The sequence below is a fragment of the Homo sapiens genome, chromosome 9 (genome assembly GCF_000001405.40).
Source record: "Homo sapiens chromosome 9, GRCh38.p14 Primary Assembly".
Taxonomy (NCBI): Eukaryota; Metazoa; Chordata; class Mammalia; order Primates; family Hominidae; genus Homo; species Homo sapiens.
Window position 1 is genome coordinate 14760129 of NC_000009.12, and position 21227 is coordinate 14781355.

At 38.7% G+C, this 21227-nt stretch overlaps 1 protein-coding gene across 31 annotated transcripts in view; it reads right to left on the reverse strand.

The window, feature by feature from the left end:
- FREM1 (FRAS1 related extracellular matrix 1) overlaps nt 1–21227 on the reverse strand; it is a 173844-nt gene that overhangs the window by 22977 nt on the left and 129640 nt on the right. For 18 of the 31 annotated variants that reach the window (NM_144966.7, XM_047422844.1, XM_047422847.1 and 15 more), the window contains 3 exons: nt 15661–16075; nt 10477–10678; nt 9596–9740 (listed from right to left, as the gene is read on the reverse strand). The exons of 1 other annotated variant lie outside the window; for it this stretch is intronic. In NM_144966.7, the coding sequence (NP_659403.4) occupies nt 9596–9740; nt 10477–10678; nt 15661–16075 (762 nt within the window). Of the gene's footprint in view, nt 1–9595; nt 9741–10476; nt 10679–15656; nt 16129–19319; nt 20304–21227 lie in introns of those variants that run through there. 12 more of the 31 variants (XM_047422859.1, XM_011517758.3, NM_001370058.2 and 9 more) reach the window with 9 other exon arrangements.

A 21227-nucleotide genomic window follows, 5' to 3' on the forward strand; every position in this document is an offset into this window, starting at 1 on the left:
CATTTCACAAATGAAGAATCTAAGGTTAAAAGGCTGCTGAATGTCTCCCAGATATTTACAACTAAAAGGGGACTCAATCGTGAATGTTTTGAAGGGAAAGGAACCAGCAGTTGTTAAGTTCAAGGAGACATTCCTTTTTGGAAAAGACACTGATAGGAAGTCTTCTATCTTATCATTTAGATAAGGATAATTGGTACAACAAGAACAATTCCAGACAGAGATATTCTCTGAACTTGGGTTCAGTTTAATAACAAAATATTTTTGAGGATGTGCTTGGGAATTAAAATGTACATGTGTTTCATAAGTGTTATTTGTTTCTCTTTCTGTGCATAAAAAAAGGACTCTACTGGTATGAGGCTTGGATGCAACTATATAACTAAATAAACCTGAGAAATAGAGGATAGTCTTTCTTTCCACAATATATTTAGTGAGTCCAACATTTGGTGGAAACTGTCTTCTTTAATCTTCATCTAGAGAGGAACATTTTTTTTCAAAAACAAACAGACAAACAAGCTTCAGAGAGGTTAAGTAACTAACTTAAAGGCAAAAAGTCATGACAAAGCTAATAGCAGAGATGAAATTCAAGCATAAATCTAATGCCAAATCTTCCATCCAACCTCTACCATTTCTCTCCCCAACTGAAGTTCTTTGCGACTCTTTTGTGAGCTCAAGCAGAGCAATACGGTTTTATCTTTACCCAGAAACATTTTCCTTTTTGAGGTCTTGCCTTTTTTTTGCCATCTGTAACCTTACTATAGAGCAGGATAAAAGACACAAGCAACCTTCACTACGATTGTTAACTGCACCTCCATTGTTTTTTATTCAGTTGCCTTTTATTCTAGATTTACAAAATCCTTAGTGGTTGCCTTACTTGTACTTCCCAAACCTCTAGTCAGATTTAGACTCTTTCCTCTTTACTTTTAAGTTTATTTATTATAATTTCTTTCTTTTTTTGTGGAACTAGAAATTCTGGGTGCCACCATATGGAACATGTGTTCACATATTTCACACACTCTCCAGGCTTTCCTGGGGCCATTCATATTAGGGAGGAAGTTTGTCTTCAAATAACCACTGTGTCCACACTGATCATGTGTCATAATCACGTTCTATGGATTAAGCTCACGAGCCAGATAAACTCAACAGTGTAGGTTCATAGCTGAGCATCATGGGCTAGGGGGCAAGGGTAGGGTAAGAGCATGGAATTATTACAGGGGCTCATGAATCTATATAAACATACCTGTTTATTCAGTCAGATTTAAAATTTATTGTTTGAGTTTATTGCTACTTCATATTAATAGAATTTTAAACAAGAAAAGAGGATCCTTGTATTAAAAAAATTGGAAACTTTATGGGTCTCTGATGCAACTGAATTTAAATCTCGCATGAAACAGATCAAGAAACAGAAATAAATGACTACGGTAATCCCTCTTTTTCACAATTTGCTTTCTGAAGGTTTCAGTTACTTGTGGTCAACCGTGATCTGAAAATATTAAGTGAAAAATCCCAGAAACAAATAATTCATAACTTTTAAACATCATGCTGTTCTGAGTAGTGTGATGAAATCTCACATCATCCCCTGCTGTTCCACTTGGGGCAAGAATCATCCCTTTGTCCAGCACATCCACACAGTAGATGCTACCTGCCCATTAGTCACTCTGTAGCTGGCTTGGTTATCAGATTGACTGCCAGCCACAGTGTCACAGTGCTTGTGTTCAAGTCACTCTAATTTTACATAATCATGGCCCCAAAGTGCAAGAGTAGTGATGCTGGCATCCCATGATAGTTGTTCTATTTTATTAGTTATTAATCTCTTACTGTGCCTAGCTTGTACATTAAACTTTATCCTAGCAACGTATGTGCAGTACAGGAAAAAGCACAGTGTACATAGGGTTCAATACTATTTGCACTTTAGACATCTGCTGGAGGTCTTAGAACATATCTCCCACAGATAGGAGGGATTAGTGTGTGCCTAAAGAATTACAAGATAACAAACAACAAGGATATCATAAATGCCAATAGAAATATGTTGCAAAGAATCCCAAAAGGATCCAGTTGAATGAGAAAGAAAAAAAAAGTCAGCAAGATGGATTAGGGGAAAAGAGAGAAAGATGAAATGGGAAGGAAAGGAGGACAGTGGGAAAGAATGAAACAAATACATTTGCATGGATTTCAGCCATCAGTAGGGTTCAAATGAGTTTCAATGTCCAATTCTTCTGAGAATTCATCCATTGCTAATGCTAACCATGACAAGTAAAAATCCATCAATGTCATTCTGTAGATCCTGGTGACCTCAAGGCGAAAAGCTAAATGCAATTTGATTTCTGATCTAAATTCAGAAGGGAACCATTCAGAGGGCTGTTCAGCTTCAAGGTATAAAGGGTCTTACTGTTTGGGAATGTGCATGCATTTCCCTGATGCACCATTTGAATGCTGCATAACGTTTATAGGTCAAGGTGGTCATTACACAATGCTCTATTTTATTTTCTTAAAATTATTCGCTACAAATAATAAAGAGCTATTGAAAAGCCGTGAAATTTAAGCCAGGCTATATATTTTTGAGAAAAATATCTAAATAGCAAAGGACCTGCATACCCACAGAATATGTACAATATATGTTTTGAATGTGATTTTTTTTTTTTTTTTGCTTTTTGCAGTAGTATATTTGAGAAGATCTTTCTACGCAGAGACTGTGATTGCTTAAACTGTACACAAACACCTGGAAGAAAAATAAGAGATGTAGTCAATCACTTGGGAATTTTGCCTGCAAGAAGCCACACAGCTATATGCCTGGCATCATGTAAATGTCCAGATCCAGGAGCCCATGAGAGAAATTCGTAAAGTTCTAGATGTGTAGGTGTCATGTAGATAAGGATTGGTTCATATCTTCCCATTTTAACAGTGCTTCCAGTTTCCTGTCACCATTGAGTGACGCTCATTTTACAGTCAGAACTGTATGCCATGGACACATTTTATGTGTAACCCATGTGGCAATCGCTTCAAGTCATTTAGCAGGAGGGGAAAACTCCCTAAGCCTCTAAGTCAGGCTTTCCCACCCATTTTGGACCAGACAATTCTTTGTTGCGGGAGGCTGTCCTGTGTGGGAATGATGTTTAGCAGCACCTCTGTCCTCCTCGCATTAGATGTAGGAGCACCACTTCCCTCCAGTCACGACAGCCAAAACTGTTTCGGGACCTTGACAAATGCTCCTTGGGAGAAAAGTCACCCCCACTTGAGAACTTCTTCCATATGCGGTTTTAATGTGTTCATCACAATAGAAAAAGCTGGTTCACCTGGAGACAGAGGTTGCAGTGAGCCGAGATCATGCCACTGCACTCCAGCCTGGGCGGCAGAGCAAGACTCCATCTCAAAAAAAAGAAAGCAAAAGCTGGTTCAATGTGAAGATAAATTCGGATCCCTGAAAACCACTGTTGTAAGTGGAAGACATGGCATGGAGCAGTGGAAATAAAATTGGATTTGAACTTGTGAGGCTTCAGGTCCCTCTGTCACTCACCAGCTCTAAGCAGTCAGGTAAAGGAAATGTTGTTTAAACACCCAATTTAAAATCACAATGTCTTTCCCAAACACAGCACTTGCTGATCCCCCTGCTCCTGGTCAAGTTTTTCATTTTTCCAGAGCATGTACCACGTACAGCAAGCATGCTATCACATTGATTTAGATCCTATGTATGCTCCAAGGAAGCACAGGTCTTTGGTTCATTGTGATAACCCAGGTGTCTTGTAGAGCATCTAAAACATGGTGAGTGCTCATTAAATATCTGTTAACTGAATGAATGAATCTTGTTTATCCCACTGTCTCCTGAGCTAAGTTGACCATTGATATGGTTTGGCTGTATCCCCACATGTTGAATTGTAGCTCATCTTGAATTGCAGCTCCCATAATTCCCACATGTTGTGGGAGGGACCTGGTGGGAGATAACTGAATCATGGGGGTGGTTTCCACCATACTGTTCTTGTGGTAGTGAATAAGTCTCACGAGATCTGATGACTTTACGAGGGGTTTCCCTTTTCACTTGGCTCTCATTCTCTCTTGCCTGCCACCATGTAAGACTTGCCTTTTGCCTTCTGCCATGCTTGTGAGTCCTCCCCAACTATTTGAAACTATGAGTTCATTAAACCTCTTTTTCTTTATAAATTACCCAGTCTCAGGTATGTCTTTATTAGCAGTGTGAAAGCAGACTAATACAACCATCGAAAATATTTTTCTCCCCAACCTTACTAACATCATCTGTCACACACTTGGAAAAAATTGCTAGGCTAGATGATCCTCACATGTTTTCTCTAGCCCTGACTTATTCTGGATTCTTTGACTATTGTTAGGCTTTATTAGCATAGAGAGAAAGATGGCATTGATAAATGAGCATTCTAACATAATTCATAATTTCTTAAAACATATGTATGCTATTTTCTAAGGCATGCGTGTAATTCTTAACATTTGGCATTTTCTGGAGATGGTATTCGTTGCCACAACTGGGAAGAGGATGGTGCTGGCCTTCAGCTGAGAGAGGCCTGGGGTGCTGCTGAATGTTCTGCAGTGCTCAGGAGACTCCCCTGTGACACCGAATGGTCTGTTTCAAAATGCCTATAGTGCCAATGTTGAGACACCCGGTCCTGGAGTAATAAATATGTTCTTTCTGATATTTTATTTTCTAGCTACTTGATTCATTTATGATGAAACAAGAAGCTGAAAGAAATACCTGGAGTTAAATCACCAGTTTAGGAATTGGGGCATTAATCCAGGTTAACAAGAGTCTGTGAAAAAGATATTTAGCCTGTCTATGCCTCAGTTTCCTTTCTTCCTATAATAATGTCATTATTACAAAATGCAATAATGATAAGTCTGTACTTCAAAGGGGTTAAGTGAACCTTCATGAATTCTCATTAAGTATTTTGAGCTTCTCAGCAAAAGGTTTACAGAAGCTAAAATTGTGATTAAATTACTATCCTTATAACTATATCTTCATTTATAATCAAGTAGCATGTGACAAGAATTCCTGAAAATGTTAAAAAAATATTTTTTCAAGTATCCAATCTAAGACTTCTCAATTCATAGATGATGCTATTAAACTCCGTAATCGAATGCTATGAACACCTGTGTTTTCATTTTTCTCTTTTTCTCTTGATAATGGGGAAACAGTGTTTAGCCAAGAGGCAGCATAGTGTGCACCCAAAACAAGTGCTTTAGAATCAAGCACACCTTGTAACCACTGATTAGTATGTGATTTAGTGTGTGATTACGGTCAGTTACTCAGTCTCTCTGGGCCTCGGTTTTCATTATCTTAAAAATGAGGAGAATTACACTCATGTAAAATGATTAAAATTAAAATTAGTTAGTATGTATAAAGCACCTGTACACAGTGGGTGCCCAATAAATGCTATTTTCCTTCCCTTCCTCTGTGCTTTCCTAAGATCTAGTCTGAAGACAAAAACCTTAACTCCTGGCTTGCAGGTAATGTGCAGGTATTAGCTAGCCAAACACCTTCCCCTATCAGGTGTTTCATAAAAGCTGCTAAACATTGCAACGTTTGCCTGATGGAAATTCCTTTTAGTCTTCTGTCCCTTCTCTTTTAAAGCCAAAAATGGACAACAGAACAGTTAGAATGTGAGTTGCCAGAGGGAGGTGAAGAATCAGAGTGCAGAACCGGAGAAACAGTCACTGAATTATCAAAGACTTCTGCATTCAACATTGCTTTTGAAGTTCACTTTTCTCCAGTGGGCACAAGAAAGAGGTCCACGTAGAAGCTGTATTAGGAAAACAACTTTGGTCAGAAGTTGGCCACATTCTGTGGTCCACAAAAGTGCTTTTCATGAATGATGTGGGTCCTGTGTAACTTAGTTTGGGGCTTCTGCGGATCATCTTGGAGATTCAACTTGGACTAGAAAACAGGCACAAGCTTGTCAAGGGGTGCAGCCAGGGGGTGAGGCAATAAGATGCGCACTCACTTAGGTCTGGAGGTCAGGGTTCACTCTCCAGTGACTTCAGGATAATTACTTAAAAGCCTTGAGCTTTATTTCCTTATCCTCAGAGGATTGTGTTTTGCAGATAAAATTAGACAACTCATGAAAACACTTAGCACAGTGCCTGAAATGTAGGCACTTAGCTAAATCTAAATCTTTACGCAAATTTCCAAGGATATCAGCATTATAAAATAATTTCTATTTACAATAAAGTGACTCCCAGATGCATTCCATGAAAAATTGGTTCCCTGAGCTATTCTGCCTGTGTGTGGGGTGGCAGGTAGAGAGAGGTGATTCTATAGCCCAGTTGGGTTGAGGTTTGCTGCGTAGGCTTCATTTCTGAGAGATTCCCAATCCACACGCACATCTCGATGATTCCAGGATGTGATGCAGTTAAACAAGCACGCAAGCTAGCTAGCTGGCAGTAACTTGATGAATCTCACGAAACAAGCATTTCCTAATGCTTTTTAGAGTGGAGCATCTATTCATCCTTCAGGACTCCACAGGAATCCTGCAATAGCCAAAACTGACCAACAGTCAAGATTCTGAATTTTCCACTGAACATGGGTCCTTCCCGTGCTCTAAAACAGGTCCATTTCTGTTCCAGATGGCACCCCGCAGTCCCTTGAGCTTTATCACAGAGGTTTCACCCCTTCAAATATGGGGAATATGAATCTATTAATCCTGTCTAAGCCAAAGAACACCACAAAGTTCCACAGCGTTTAGCTCATTGATTAATATGCATATTGACTGTTCACTTTGTGATTCATCCCAGGATCAATTTCTAATTAGAGGCAGGCTTTCTAATCCACCAAATGTTTCCGGGATACTTCTTCAGTCAATTATTGTACCTACATGAATTAACTACAACAGTAATCACCACAAGTTGCATTTGTTAAGGAGTTTAAATACACAAGATGCTTTCATATACGTTACACATTTCTTTTGTTTTTCTAAACAAATTGTAGTATCGCTCCCATTTTACAGAAGAGATAACTAAGGCTTGAACAGTTACTAGATGAAGGGCAGAGCCAAAGCTCAAACCTTGTCCTCTAGCTCCAAGTTCGGTGGTTTATTATCTATAGTATAAATTCTAGTGTGTTAGATACGAAGTGCACACTAATATAGAGATCTATAATGTACATGTTAAAAAATCCCACTGAACTTTAAGGTCCTATATGAGTAAGTATTCCTTCTTTCTTGCTTGGGTGGCCAATGTCTGAAGAGAAAGAAGAAGACAAGTCTGGTGTTCCATTCCCTTCAGGCCAGATTAGCACAGTCCTTAAAATGGGCAAGAAGTTCTTCAGTGTGCTGAGAAAAATCATGCACTCTAAAGCTGCATTTCCACTTAGAAAAGTCACTTTCTAGCTCTGTCCTCAGTTTTCTCATCTGTAAATTTCAGATTATGATGGTACCTGACTCATAGGTGGTTCTGATGATTAAATGAATAGCAATGAAATAGAGCAAACACCAATTATATTGCAAATGGCTGTAATTTATATTGTACCTGTAACTACGTTCTGCCTGGCTGTCTTGGGAAGATGAACCACTATTCATAACCTTGCTTTTTACTGGAAAATTGTGCACCTAGTTCCAATAACATCTGCTTACAAATGGGGTTGAGGACAACTATACCGTTCAAAAATGATGATGATAAATGCTGAGTAATTTTACCCCCCCATCGCTTATAAAGAAAATAGCCTAATATATGTCAGAACCAAATAAAACTTCTCTCTATATTACCCCTTGGTAGGCATATGCCACAGCATTTTGTTCAGTCATGAACAAATGAACAAATTACGTCAAGTTGAACTGGAAACATCTCCAGCACAGACACATGAAAGTTAATAGCCAACAAAAGCAGGAGGATATTTAAATGGCCTCATTTAAGGTTATAATTAAATTAAGCAAATTTTGCTGTAATTCTCATATGAATTTGAGAGTATATTTAAAAATATAAATCATCTTCCAAAAGCAATGTCCTTGATAGTGACAAAGATTGAAAGGGGCTATGGGTGAAGCAGTATCAGCCTAGCATCATTACTGGGGGAAGAAAATCCTCTGTCAGCTACACTGCGCTCACACATGGAGGACAAGAGGTGAGCATTAGGTCAGTAGCAAGTCTGATCAACATTCCTATGTTTTCTTACTTGAATTATTTTTAAAATGTTAAAAAAAAAAAGTGAAGTCCACGTATTAACATTTTTGGAGCAGGTTTTTTTTTTTTTTTTTTACATTTTCTTGAGAATTGGAAGATATTTGTCTGACATTGCAAGTACTTGACATATTTTCCCATAAAGATTGTGATCCTGGGAATTATTTGTCTTAGGCAAAGACAGTTTAATGGGTGGAGGTCATATGTTTTACATTTTGTAATCTCGAGATTACATTTTAATATCACGGGCCAGGTCTACTTTGCTCTAACCTATTCCCCAGCTCCTAGTACTGTGCACCTGGCATATAGTAGCCACTCGATAAAAGTCTGTGGAGTTAATAAATCTGGGCCAGGCTCTGCATTTTATCGAGGCAACGGAGTGGGACGCTGGGAATGTGTTTTGCTAAGAAAAGGAGGCTAGCTTTTTTCTGACAATGACTACTGTGACCTCTGCTGGTCAGATTTTAGAACTACAATTCAGGATCCAAAAGAAAATGCAAGAATTCTGAAGACTGCAGAGGAGTTTCTCAGCTTTCTTTTCTTAATCTATACTCCATCATAAAAGGAGTATAACAGAGCACAGAGCTGTATCACTTATGATGCTTAGTATGACTAGGATATGGTGACTACTAAAACAAGGATAAGTGAACAACTTTTCTTTGGGGTTTCTGGGAGGGTATCAAAAACAAACAAACAAAATGAACAAACAAACAAACAAAAAACAGCACAGTACCAGAATAACTGGACTCTGACCGACCTTTCTATGACTATCTGTTAGCTGGTAAGATATTCAAGGTCTACATTCAAGAAAAGTCTAGAGTAGGGACCCAGTCAGTGAAATTGCTGTGGTCTGTTAATCTCGTTAATTTTGAAGATTTGTTACTCTTGCTATTTTGAGGGTCATACCCTTTATATACCTTCCAAAGTCTAGTTTCCTCTTTACATTATATTTGTCTTACATGGGATAAGTTTATCACCTTATAAACATACTGTCAAGTAATTGTAATTTTCTTCATAAGAGAAAGAGAAGATGTTTGGCTAACTCTTCTTGACTACCTCATTTCCCCGACTGCAGATATTTTAGAAGGCTATAGTTGCTAACACGGTCCTAGAGTGACCTCTTGCTGCACAATTGCTACATGAACCTGCAAACTCAGTGTTGGATGCTAGTGAATTGGTAAGACAGAACCCTCCCTGTGTATAAAAGTGTGTACCTTGACATGCATAATATGAACGTCAACTTAGCTTTTTAATGTTTCTGTACTCTGTAAAGCTACTGGCTTTCCTATTTTCAAGCAGTAATAAAAAGAAAATTCATTCTCCAAAATAAATTCCATGAGCTTGTGAAATGGTCTATTAATTTATCTTCTTGGGTTCTGTTTTAAAAAGAACATTTCACTTTCCTAATATTCAGATACATTATGGATGTAACATATAGGACTACTGAATAAGCAAGAGAATTTACATTTGAGGAGTGGCCGAGTTCCCTGTGGGGTCCATGATTTGAAATTCCACGGTATCTGAATTTACTTCCAAAGATGGGTTTATGATGTAAAGAATAGTCTTACTGTTTAAGTCCTTTTGGCTAAATTTCTCATGGATAAATTCACCTAAAAAAAGAAATAAATGAATATCATGGGTAATCAAACAAAACATTAAATAAAAGCTAATAAAATTGTATGGCTATTTTATTTTAAACACAGCTTTAAAAAACAGCTAAAGTACATTTTAAAACAAGAAATTAACATTACTGTAACTATCTTAAAACTCAAATGCAGCGAGCTTAAATTAGGCATTAAGTTGACTGCTTCAGAAATATTTGCCTTAAAAAAATGAAAATAAAGAGAAGGAGAGTAGAAAGATACAGTAATAAAAATCTGTAACTTGGTGCCATCCTGTTTAATGATGTATTATGATCATTGTGCTCATAAAGTAGAAATAATATACAATCCAGAGAATCCATTAGGAAAAAAACCAAGAACTTTTAAAAAAAGATCTGACATCATTTAGAGTCATTTAGAATTCATGACAGAATAAAAAATTAGTCACAAATAGGAAATTTGGTCCTGATATTATGTTCCTTTGAATATATTATAATCAGCTGTTGAGAAAAAAAATATAAATAAACAGTTGTATATCAGTATTTGGTTCTTCCAGTCAGGATAAATTTAGGAAGGCTCAGCTTCAAACCCTCTTTAGGAGCAATATTGATTTATAAACTGCATCTATCAGTAAGCCCTGGGGAGTGTTTACCAAATGGGCCTGCACTTAATTAAATTACTCTCTAGCCCTGCCAGCCACTGGGTATTTTAAAATGGCAATTGTAAGGATTAAGGAGGCCAGTACCTGTTGTTGTGTTCTCCAGATGTCCATGTTTTGGGCCTTGTAGAATTTTAAAGATGATCTGATCGTCCTCAGTGTCAGGGTCTGATGCCTTCAACACGCGGGAAGTGATGTAAATCCCGTAGCAGCCATTTTTCAGGAGCCCCACTTGAGAAGGGGAATGCAAGAGTGTGATACGAGGAGCTGTTTTGTCCAATTGGTCTACCTGGATCATCAACAATGACATAAAATGTTGTCCAAAGGCCCCTCACCCCCATGCAACGTTGGGCTTTATTGGTTCAACAATGACACACTGTCCCACGTTTTGGATTCCTTATACTCCTCACTAGTGGATTCCTGCTAAAGACAGTCCTGTTCACAACAGCCTCAGCAAATATCACAGTGCTTGGAACAGAGGCCAATTTTCCACTGTAAACCTTGACTCCACTTTATCAATTTGTCTATTGCTTGACTGCCACTTAGGATACAAGTTCCGAGAGGGCAGGCGTCAGGTCTTTCACCGCCATGGATTCCCTGCACTTGGCACAGTGCCTGAACCATAATAGAAGCCCAGGGAATGTCTATTAAATGAATACACTAAAATTGACCCAAGAATTCTAGAGCAGACTTCATGTTAACTCCACAGAAGAACTTCTCCTATTTTCCTGGTATTTAGTGATTTACAGACACAAAATTGTGAGGGTTTACAAATATATAGAAATTTTTTTGGCATGTCTTTTTTCAACTGGCAAAAATGTTGAATAAAAATAGAGATACCTCAGTAAGGAAAAAGTGAAAGGTGATTATTTCTAGACATTTGCATATTTCTTTCATTGAAGATGAGAGCCAGGTAGCTGAACAGGTGGACCAGATTTGTGAAGATGGTGGATGACATCTTCACAACCTACACTGTAGGTTCAAACACAACAAAGGACCTCGTTCAGTCTGTACGGAGCTCAGTGCATCTTGCATTTGCAAGATGACTGTTGTAGGTTATGGATGGAGCAGGTTTGGATGGATTAGAACAGATCCACCACTGATACTAGAAAACATGTACAAGAATCTTCATTCCCCTCACTCCTAATCTCTCGGTTCTTAATTTCATTTACACCAACCTGATACTACTGTAAATCTTAGTTTGCCCTAGCAAAGTAAAGAATTCTTGTCAATGATAAGACCATGTATATTTTTGTGTATTATGATACAATGAACTACTCTGTAGCTATTCAAAAGAATAAGGGAGAAAATGAATTGATGATGAAAAATTTCCACAATTTTGTGTTAACTGAAAAACCCTAGCAAGTTGCAGAATAGAATTCGAATATAATTATAATACTATTTTTGTTAAAAATATATATTTATCTATACATAATGTTTGTATAGACATAGGCAAAAATCTGGGAGCATTTGCACAAATGTGTTCATTTCTTTTGGGGTGGGGAAAGATTACAACTCCTCCTCTGTTTATTTCATGAGAAATTTTGTCACAACCAACCATTTTTTCCTCTCAAATTGGCAAGATTCTTAAAAAAAAACAGAAATAATTATAACTCATGATGATAAATATGTGAAGAAACAGATATTTTTATATTTTGCTGGTAGGGGTGCAAAACAGTGAAAATTTTTCTGTATCTTGCAGAAACAGATATGTATGCAAAAATGATTAGATATATATTCACCAAAATACTATTTATAATAGCAATTTACAAAAGGAATGAAAAGTCCACCAGGGGATTTATAAACCATCTCGACCTGAGACTGAGTTCCATGCAGCCTTTAAAAATCATGTTATCAGGAATATGATTAGTTATCAAGAACTATCAGGAATAGTTAATGACATAAGGAAATGTTCATAACACATGAAGATGGAAACAGGCAATATGCATAAAAAATAGTATATATAATATCATCCCATTTCTAATTGAACAAAATAAAAGAAAGCCACCAACAATAGGTTTTTGAGTGGTATGGTTGTCAAGAATTTTTTTTCTTGTAGTTTATGAATTATTTACAATACATAGTTATTTTATAAACTGAAAAAGCAACTGACATTTTCAAAAGTCACAGTCATTCTTCTCCTCTCCTGAAGAGTATGGGTGGCAACTTTCAAAGCAATGAGATTGGGTATTAAATTGTCATTGTGGCCCGTGAGGGAAGAAGCTCCCACAACCAAGTGGCCAGTAAGAGAGATGGTTAGTGGAAGAAGAGGAAAATTAAAGTACTTCTAAGCCATATAAGAAATACCCAGAGTTGATACTAAATGAATAGTTGAATGTAGATGGTTGTTTTATTTTGGTTTTGGATGTTATAATTCCTTAAAAATGAAAGTGTTACAAAAGTAATAAATGCCTGTCGTGATCATGTGTTTTTAAAAGGACATCTAAACTCTAGCAACACGGTCCCGTCATGTCTCTGGTCACATTAAAATATATCCTAGATCTTATTCAACTTCTAGCTTTGTCAAAAGTAGATCTTCTGGCTTAGTATCCCAGAAGCATTTTTAAATATTGGGTTGCAAGATTTTTTTTTAAAGAAAGCTCTGTCCCCTGATAACTTGTGTTGTATTTACAGAAAATGCACAGAAAGCAATGGCATCACATTTTTCTCGCTCACCTGACCCCTTTAAAGGAGAAGTACAGGTTGCATCAGTTGCAATAATCTTGGTCAGACAGAAAAGATTTCCTACCAAATGAATGTCAGGTTGTGCCTGCTGGTATCAGTCAAATACACCTGTGTGTTGCAGCAGTTTTGCCCTCAATTACTCAGGTACCACCAGAAGAATAGTTTACCCATAGTTGGGAGACTTATTTGGGACAGTTTATCACTCAACGGTGATCAACATCCATATTGTCTTGGCAGAAAAAGCTCTTGAAGGCAAGACACTGAGTGTCATCTCTCCTACACTGCTGGTGGGGTCAGTCACTTTCTAAAGCCTCTTGACTTCTCTGCTCAAAGAGACTGAGGGTTCTGGGGAATTATGGGAGGAATTTTGAAGCTTACCTTGTGGGGTTTTTACACGTAATGATTTTTTTTTTTTTTTGCAAGGAAAGCCTTATACTTTTGACAAAAAAAAAGAAACTTTACAATATATGTCCAACATTTTCCTATCAGTAAATTCCACAACTTCCAATAGATAACTCTCTTACAATAGCCATGCTCTTTAAGATGAGTGTTGGTGTTGGGAAAGACCTGATTCAAGTTCTGGTACTTTCCCCAATCTCCATCCTCTTTTCCATCTGTGCTATGGAGTGTAGGAAGGAACTCTAACATCTGCACTCAGAATTTAGAATTCGTATGAATTTGCAGCCAAAGAGACCCAGAAAAGTATCCCTGGTTGGACAGTACAGAGACTGGTATCAACCTAGGTTAGGGGAGTTAGGAATAAAAAAAAGACACTAACAGACTGAAAAGGGAAAGTGACTAAGATCAATTAAAACATATGATAAAAATAAAAACAATAATTTTAATACAAAGTGCTTCTTACTGTGTTCACGATGTCAATATCTTCTTTCTTCTCCCAGTGCATTATCATTTCTTTGCATTTTTTGGACCTCCTGACTGCCAAGGACTCATCCAGCATCCACTCTATGATCTCAAGACTTCCCTCATAGATAAGAGTCTGTGAGGCTTCATTTCATGTGTCAACTTTGCAGGGTGTGTATTAGATGGGATTACGTTTACATCAGTACATTTTGAGTAAAGAGATCACCCTCCATAATGCAAGTGGGCTTCAACCAATCAGTTGTAGGCTTTAAGAGAAAAGACTGAAGCCCCCCAAAAAGGAAGGAATGTTGCCTCCAGACTGCCTTTGGGCTAAAGATTGCAACGTTAACTCCTGCTGAAATTTGTAGCCTGCCAACGTGCCCTGTGTATTTCGGACATGCCAGGCCCTAAAATTGCATGAGCCAATGAGCCAATTTCCTAAAATAAATCTCTCTCTCTCTCTCTCTCTCTCTCTCTCTCTCTCTCTCTCTCTCTCTCTCAGAGCAAGGAAAAATGTAACTATTTTACTAGTCAGAAAGTATTCTGAAGTGAGAGATAAATTTTATCTATTTTGTGTTTGGTGTGAGTGTGTAGAAGAGGGTGAACTACTTCCAAGGAGAGTAGATTCAAGGGTTTGAGAGCCAGAATATACTTGATGTGTTTTGACTTAAAAAAGAAAAACACATTATGCCCTCCAGGAATCCTTGTAACAGTCAACAAATGTGGCAGTGTAGTGTCATAGAAAGGACACAGAATTTGGGATCAGAAAGACTTGAGGCCTTTGTGTGTATTTGATCAAATTATTTAACTCCTGAACTTGTACCCTCATCTATAAAATGTAAATAACAAAACTTGCTTCATATGAGTTTTATGAGAATCAAATAAGATTTATGTGGAGTGGGTCTAGCTTGCAGTTAACACTAAAGGAACTGCAATTGCTGCTATTATTACCCTCATCATTATTATATGTGTAATAGTGTAAAGATGCTGCCTTGTAAGTTTCAACATCAAATATGTTTCAGGCCATATACTACTGCTTTGGATACCTAATCCTACTGAATTCTCACCACAATGCTGTAGGCATGTTTTTCAAAGAAGGAAAAGTAGATTCAGAAGAGTTAAAGAACTCTTTAAGGTCAGACGGCTAATACATTGCAAAGCAGAAATTCAAAGCTAGGTCTGTCTGACTCCAAAGCGTGTGGCTTTTGCTCCTTTCTGTGCTACCATCAACACTCACGGTCAGTCATTAGCACCTATGAGGGGACCATATCTCTTTCATTCATATTAATATTGCTGTTTTGCTGTAGATGCATAATCTGTACTTGAATGAAAGAGGAAAAGAAATTAAAAAATAGTTCTTGGCCAGGCGTGATAGCTCACGACTGTAATCCCAGCACTTTGGGAGGCCGAGGCAGGTGGATCATTTGAAGTCAGGAGTTCGCCACCAGCCTGACTGACATGGTGAAACCGTGTCTCTACTAAAAATGCAAAAAAGTTAGCTGGGCATGGTGGCACATGACTATAGGCCCAGCTACTCAGGAGGCTGAGGCAGGAGAATCGCTTGAGCCCAGGAGGTGGAGATTGAAGTGAGCCAAGATCACGCCACTGCACTGCAGCCTGGGTGACAGAGAGAGACTCCCTCTCAAAAAAAAAAAAAAAAAAAAAAAATTCTCGATGTCACTGTTTTCACATCTCTGGCAAATGAACTGTGTTTTTCATACTTGCCTGAATGGTGAATAAAACAGGTTCTTCCCACACTCTCCCATTCACAATAAAGCCTTGGTTTGTCCCATCTGTGGCCATGAAAGTAAAGCAGTCAGTCTGGGAGTCCCCTCCTGAGTGCCGATAGGCCACATTCTTGCTGTCCACATCCTGCTGGGTGAAATTGTGTTGAAGTAGCCCTGTCCCCCACAGGTAGAGCTGGCCATGCTGGGGGAGCTGAACCAAGAGGAAGGTGAGGTTCTCCGCAGGTGTATCAGGGTCGGTCAGCTGAAGGAGGTCAGGGGAAAGCAGGCCCACGGCCCCTTGGGCCAGTCTCAACCCCTTGTTCCTGGTTACCACAGGCAGGGCTCTGTCCACAGTCTCCAGTGTGATCTCAAACACCCCGTGCTCGGTCCGCAGTCCATTGCTGATGATGAATCTGGTAAAGAGAGGCAAGGCAGCCTTCAGCATGGATTCTTGTGTCACCATCTACTGGAATGAAATGATAACAATACACACCTTTACTAAAGGGTATTGTCGTGTTGTGACTCAAATGAAAAATCAAGGGCAGATCTTGCAGAAAAATCCCTATCATTAAACCAGTCACTAGAGTAATGCATAAATGGACCATTCTACACCCAAGAATATTTTCCCAACAACATTAATGACAGACCCATGTGATGGAACAGGGAAATTCTGACAATCATATTTCTCAGGCTCATCAGTGCTTAATGTGGTTCCTTGACGCAAATAAAAATTTCACATCCAATGAGACTCATCATACAAATTTGAAGAGTATACCCCCTTTATTTATTTATAATTTTTCAATTGTTTTTTTCTTCATTGGTGTGTAATAGACTAAAGTTGTAAGTCTGACAACTGGGAGGCCAATACAATAAAGTGCTAAATGAGTTGAATTTAGCTAATTCATTCTACTCATACGTTTTTATGGTAAATTTCTTAATAGCAGATCACATTTCTCAGACATGTAATCTCACTTAAATCATCTTCCCCTTCCAGGCCTCATTTCCATGGCTCTGAAAAATGAAGGGGATGGACCAGAAGATCATTAAGTACCACCCAACTCTAAAATATGACGGGAGGCTCTAATCTCTTATGGTTTACATGTGCTTCTGCACTTTCTCCCCCTATAAGACAGATGAGAGTTATGCTACACAAGGATTATTTTCCTGCTTCAAAGAAAGGTTCACAAAGTTGGTGGGAGATCATAAGGGCAGGTAGGAGATGAAGCTGAGACTAGAATGCAGGTCTTTTAATCCCTGCACCCACTACTCTTGCAGAGTTTAAAACAAATTCTGGTTTAGCAATCCACCACAAAAGAGTTGTGGTGCCTGAGCACCATTGCAAAACTATAAAAAGAAAGCTGAAATGATACACATTTGAGACAAGCAAAATCTTTCTTACAGTCTTAGGTTTGTGATATCTTAATGTGCTTTTGATTCTATTGATCATGAAATCACATTCTACCTACTGAAGCCAATTTCACAATAACACTGATTTAAATGATCTTTGTAGCATTACAATATGTAATTTTTATTTCAATAAGATTAAGAGTATCATGAAATTATGCAAACAAGGCACAATATTAAAACTCCAAAAAGTTAGGAAATCGTTACTATCCAATGGGACTGACAAATTCACTGTACACCAAAGAAATGTACTTAGAAATAATCACAGAATTGTGCCTTGTTAGCTTTTCTCCATGTACCATAGTTGCTGGAAATATTCGTAGAGGATGCACTCTTCTATTCCACCGATACAAAAACCTCTAAAACTAATGCTTTCGTAGAATGTATAAACTATACATAACATTTTTATGTATAAATTTTATATACATATATAAATTGTATATTTTCTTTGGAAGTTCTTTTTTAACTAGAGAAGGTATGGCATTTATATTTATTTTACAAATCTGGCAGATTTGACTAACAATCCCTTTATTCTTTGTGAAATGTGTCTTGTCCTTCAGGGTTTGAGCATTGATCCTTTTGAGCATGAAGAAACCTGAAGCTATTAGATAGTGTGAAAGCAACGAGTCAACCAGCCTGCCTGCGACCACGGACTCAGGGAGGGCAGTTAGACAAAAAGTAAAAAGAGATGAGTTTGGCTGAGTACTGATATTGCTTTGAAGGCTATGCTGAAGTTTTTTAGTTTTCTAATTATCTAGTTAATAAGACTGTTGACAAGGAAAATATATCTGATTTGATGCAAAGAAAAAGAAATCTATGTCCAAAAAGTTAAAATTGCTAAGTGAAATACAACAAATAAAGTAAATTTTGACATTTCACACACCTCGACTTGTAAAGAATGAAACCTCATACATTTCCCCCACAGCAGCATTTTTTACACCTTGAATAAAGGTATTCAGTTACCTTTAGAATTATAGATTGAGCAAAATCACATAATTTTCTCAAAACAAACCAATCAGTTTTCCTTTCATAAAATTAAACCTTTGATAAGTATATTTTTAACAAATTGGGCAATTTCATTACTGGATCATGAGGCATTTATAAAAATCAATTATTTATTAAAAAAAATAAAAGAGGCTGGTGCAGTGGCTCACACCTGTAAACCCAGTACCTTGGCTGGCCAAGGCGGGCAGATGGCTTGAGTCCAGGAGTTCAATATCAGCCTGGGTAACATGGCAAAACCCTTTCTCTACAAAAAATACAAAATTTAGCTGGGTGTGGTGCGTGCCTGTAGCCCCAGCTACTAGGGAGGCTGAGGTGGAAGGATCACTTGATCCTGGGAGGTTGAGGCTACAGTGAGCCATGAACGTGCCACCGCACTCCAGCCTGGGCAACAGACAGAGAACCTGTCTCAAAAAAAAAAAAAAAAAAAAAAAGAGGAAAGGAAAGGGAGGGAAGGGAGGGGAGGGAGGGGAGGGAGGGGAGGGAGGGAAGGGAAGGGAAGGGAAGGGAAGGGAAGGGAAGGGAAGGGAAGGGAAGGGAAGGGAAGGGAAGGAAAGGAAAGGAAGTCAGGCGCGGTAGCTCACGCCTATAGCTTGGACACTCTGGGAGGCTGGGGTGGGTGGAGCGCTCGAGCTCAGGAGTTTGAGACCAGCCTGGGCAACATGGCAAAAGCCCATCTTAAAAAAAGAAAAATAATTTTAAAAAAGAAAATAAAGGAACCTAGAAAAATATGTCTGTTCTTCAAACTTTTTACTTAGTCACCTTCACAGTTTCAAAAGTAAACTGATATACATTTTTAGGTATAAAATTATGCTTTATTTCTCAGGCAGAGCCTGAGAACAGAGTTATGCCTTTATTCTATTGTTTTTCTGTTACTTTTTCATATTCCCCCCAGATCCTATCATCTGACCCACAATAAAATAGGAAGGAGGCTAGGTGCTCCCTCAGTGCCTCCAAGTTCCCTTTTTCCCATTTTCCCCCTCCAGAAATATGTTTCACACCTCTCATTCTACCCTGTTTCACATTAAACTGGCTCTCTGTTCCTTACCAGATCCCTGTATCAAGTGTGCTCTGTGGAGAGTGTTAAATCAGCCATTGGTACCTTAGCGCAAATATAAGCCAAAGGACGTGTATTTTTAGCATTAGCATTAATTGTAGAGCTATAGACATTGTGCACTATTAAAAGTATGTCAAATATCAGCAGAGAAGGAAGAAGAAAGAAGGGGAGAGATGGGACCAGGAGCAACAAACCCAAATGCAAGCTTGAGTGAGTGCCAGGGACTCCATCAGAGGCGGCCATCTTGAATATCTAATTCTGACTTTCCTCCCTGCAGACTGAATTGCAAGAATGCCTGACGGGGTCCTCAAAGCTCATCTCAGGACGGCCACATCTACTCGATGCGTGCATGGCCTCTGTGAGGTCACCGCAGTTGTCTTATGATCCAGGCTGTCCATCTCAAACCCCTCCCTGCTGGAAGATCGTGATCTGCCCACGTTGGAAACAGGCAGCCTGCCATCAGACAGATGGGAGTGAGGGCACGCGGGCCACAGACCACAGAAGAGTAAGAAATATGTTTTCTGAGGCCAGCGCTCCTATCTGGGACACCAAGGCAGCTGTCAGTGCTGACCTAAAGCTAATAGGCCAGGGGTGAAAATGATGCAATTTCTAAACATGACTGGATCAAATAACATCATTCCACTTTCACAAGTAACAGTGCAAACTACTCACAGGCAGAGAGACATCATCAGAGAGAGGGACAGAATGAATGGTTACGGTTGAGTTCCCAGTCAAAATAAAGCTAGCAGTACACGTGAAAAAAGGTCAGTGCTGTTCATGTCTGGAAAAGCTGATCAATCAGATGGTCTTCCAAATACCCCCTCCCCTAAATCCTCCAAATACATTCTCAATGTTTAAAACCATAAAGCCATTGCTATGTTGGTATCCATTCTGAGGTGAAGAAGTTGGTGGTAGCAGCTCCTTCTGTGGATCCATTTTGTTTAATTTCCCTTGTTACATCCCCCTGAGAAGAGATGCAGCCAAGATGACCACCGCTCTCATGAAATTTGGGGAATAACTCTCAGATTTGACTGGGGTGCCTGCCTGGTCTGATTTCACCATTACCACGGTGCTTTCAAGCTTTCTGCATTGCCTGGCAATAGAGTTGGCTGAAGAAGCTGCCATCTGTCATGGCATTTAAGAGATAAAAATGGAATCATAAATAGCGCCAGCTCCTCAGAAAAAAAAAAAAAAAAAGTCCAGCCGGCATGTCAAAATGGAGGACATTAGCATGTTCTTTTAGTACCCGGCTGCCAGCAGCTGAAGTCAGCTTGCTAATCACTCGGTGTCATCTGTCCTAGAACATGCTGCCAAATCTTTCTTCCAGGCCAGCAGCACCAAACAATGCAGGAGAAATTTATGATTCACAAAATATTTTTGCAGAAGGTAAAATCTGACTATTAAACTCCCCCATTTAATTAATGCTGCCATAGCTTACATTAAAAATGGAAGGGGGAAAATCCTCTGCCACAGAATTTATCTCTTCTACCCAGCCAAATTCCTTGCCAAATTTAACAGCAAGCAACATAAATTTAGGTGATTAGATTGGTTGCATATATTTAATTTTTAAAAAGCACCATGATCACACTTTCATTAAAACAGGCTTTCAGCTTTGGTTTAGCGCCACTTGACAAACAACATAGCAGTCCGTGATTGGGTTAGTGAAATGACAAGATTAAAATTTGGGTCTTGGGCAGACGCTAGGCTCTTCCATTATAAATATGTAAAACTGCTGGCCAAATATCAGAATGACACATTGAGGAGGTTCCTTCACACAAATGCATATTCTCCACAAATTTTTGGTACAACGAGGTATAATGGAAAGAACCTTCTACTGGAAATGAGCTCTGAGCCCCAAATTCAGCAGTGATACTCAGTTATGTCAGTTTAGGTGACTTCCTTTGCCTCTTGGAACCTTGGTTTTCTCATGTGTACAATGGGAACACTATTGCATCTCTCGCAAGGTGGTGTCATAAGGCTTAAGAAAAATAACATATAAAAAAAGTCCAGGACATTCTCTGGTGCATTGCAGGTGTTCAGGCAATGCTAGCTTTCCTATGTGTAAATAAGGGATTGCACCAAATCAATGCTTTTCAGCCTTT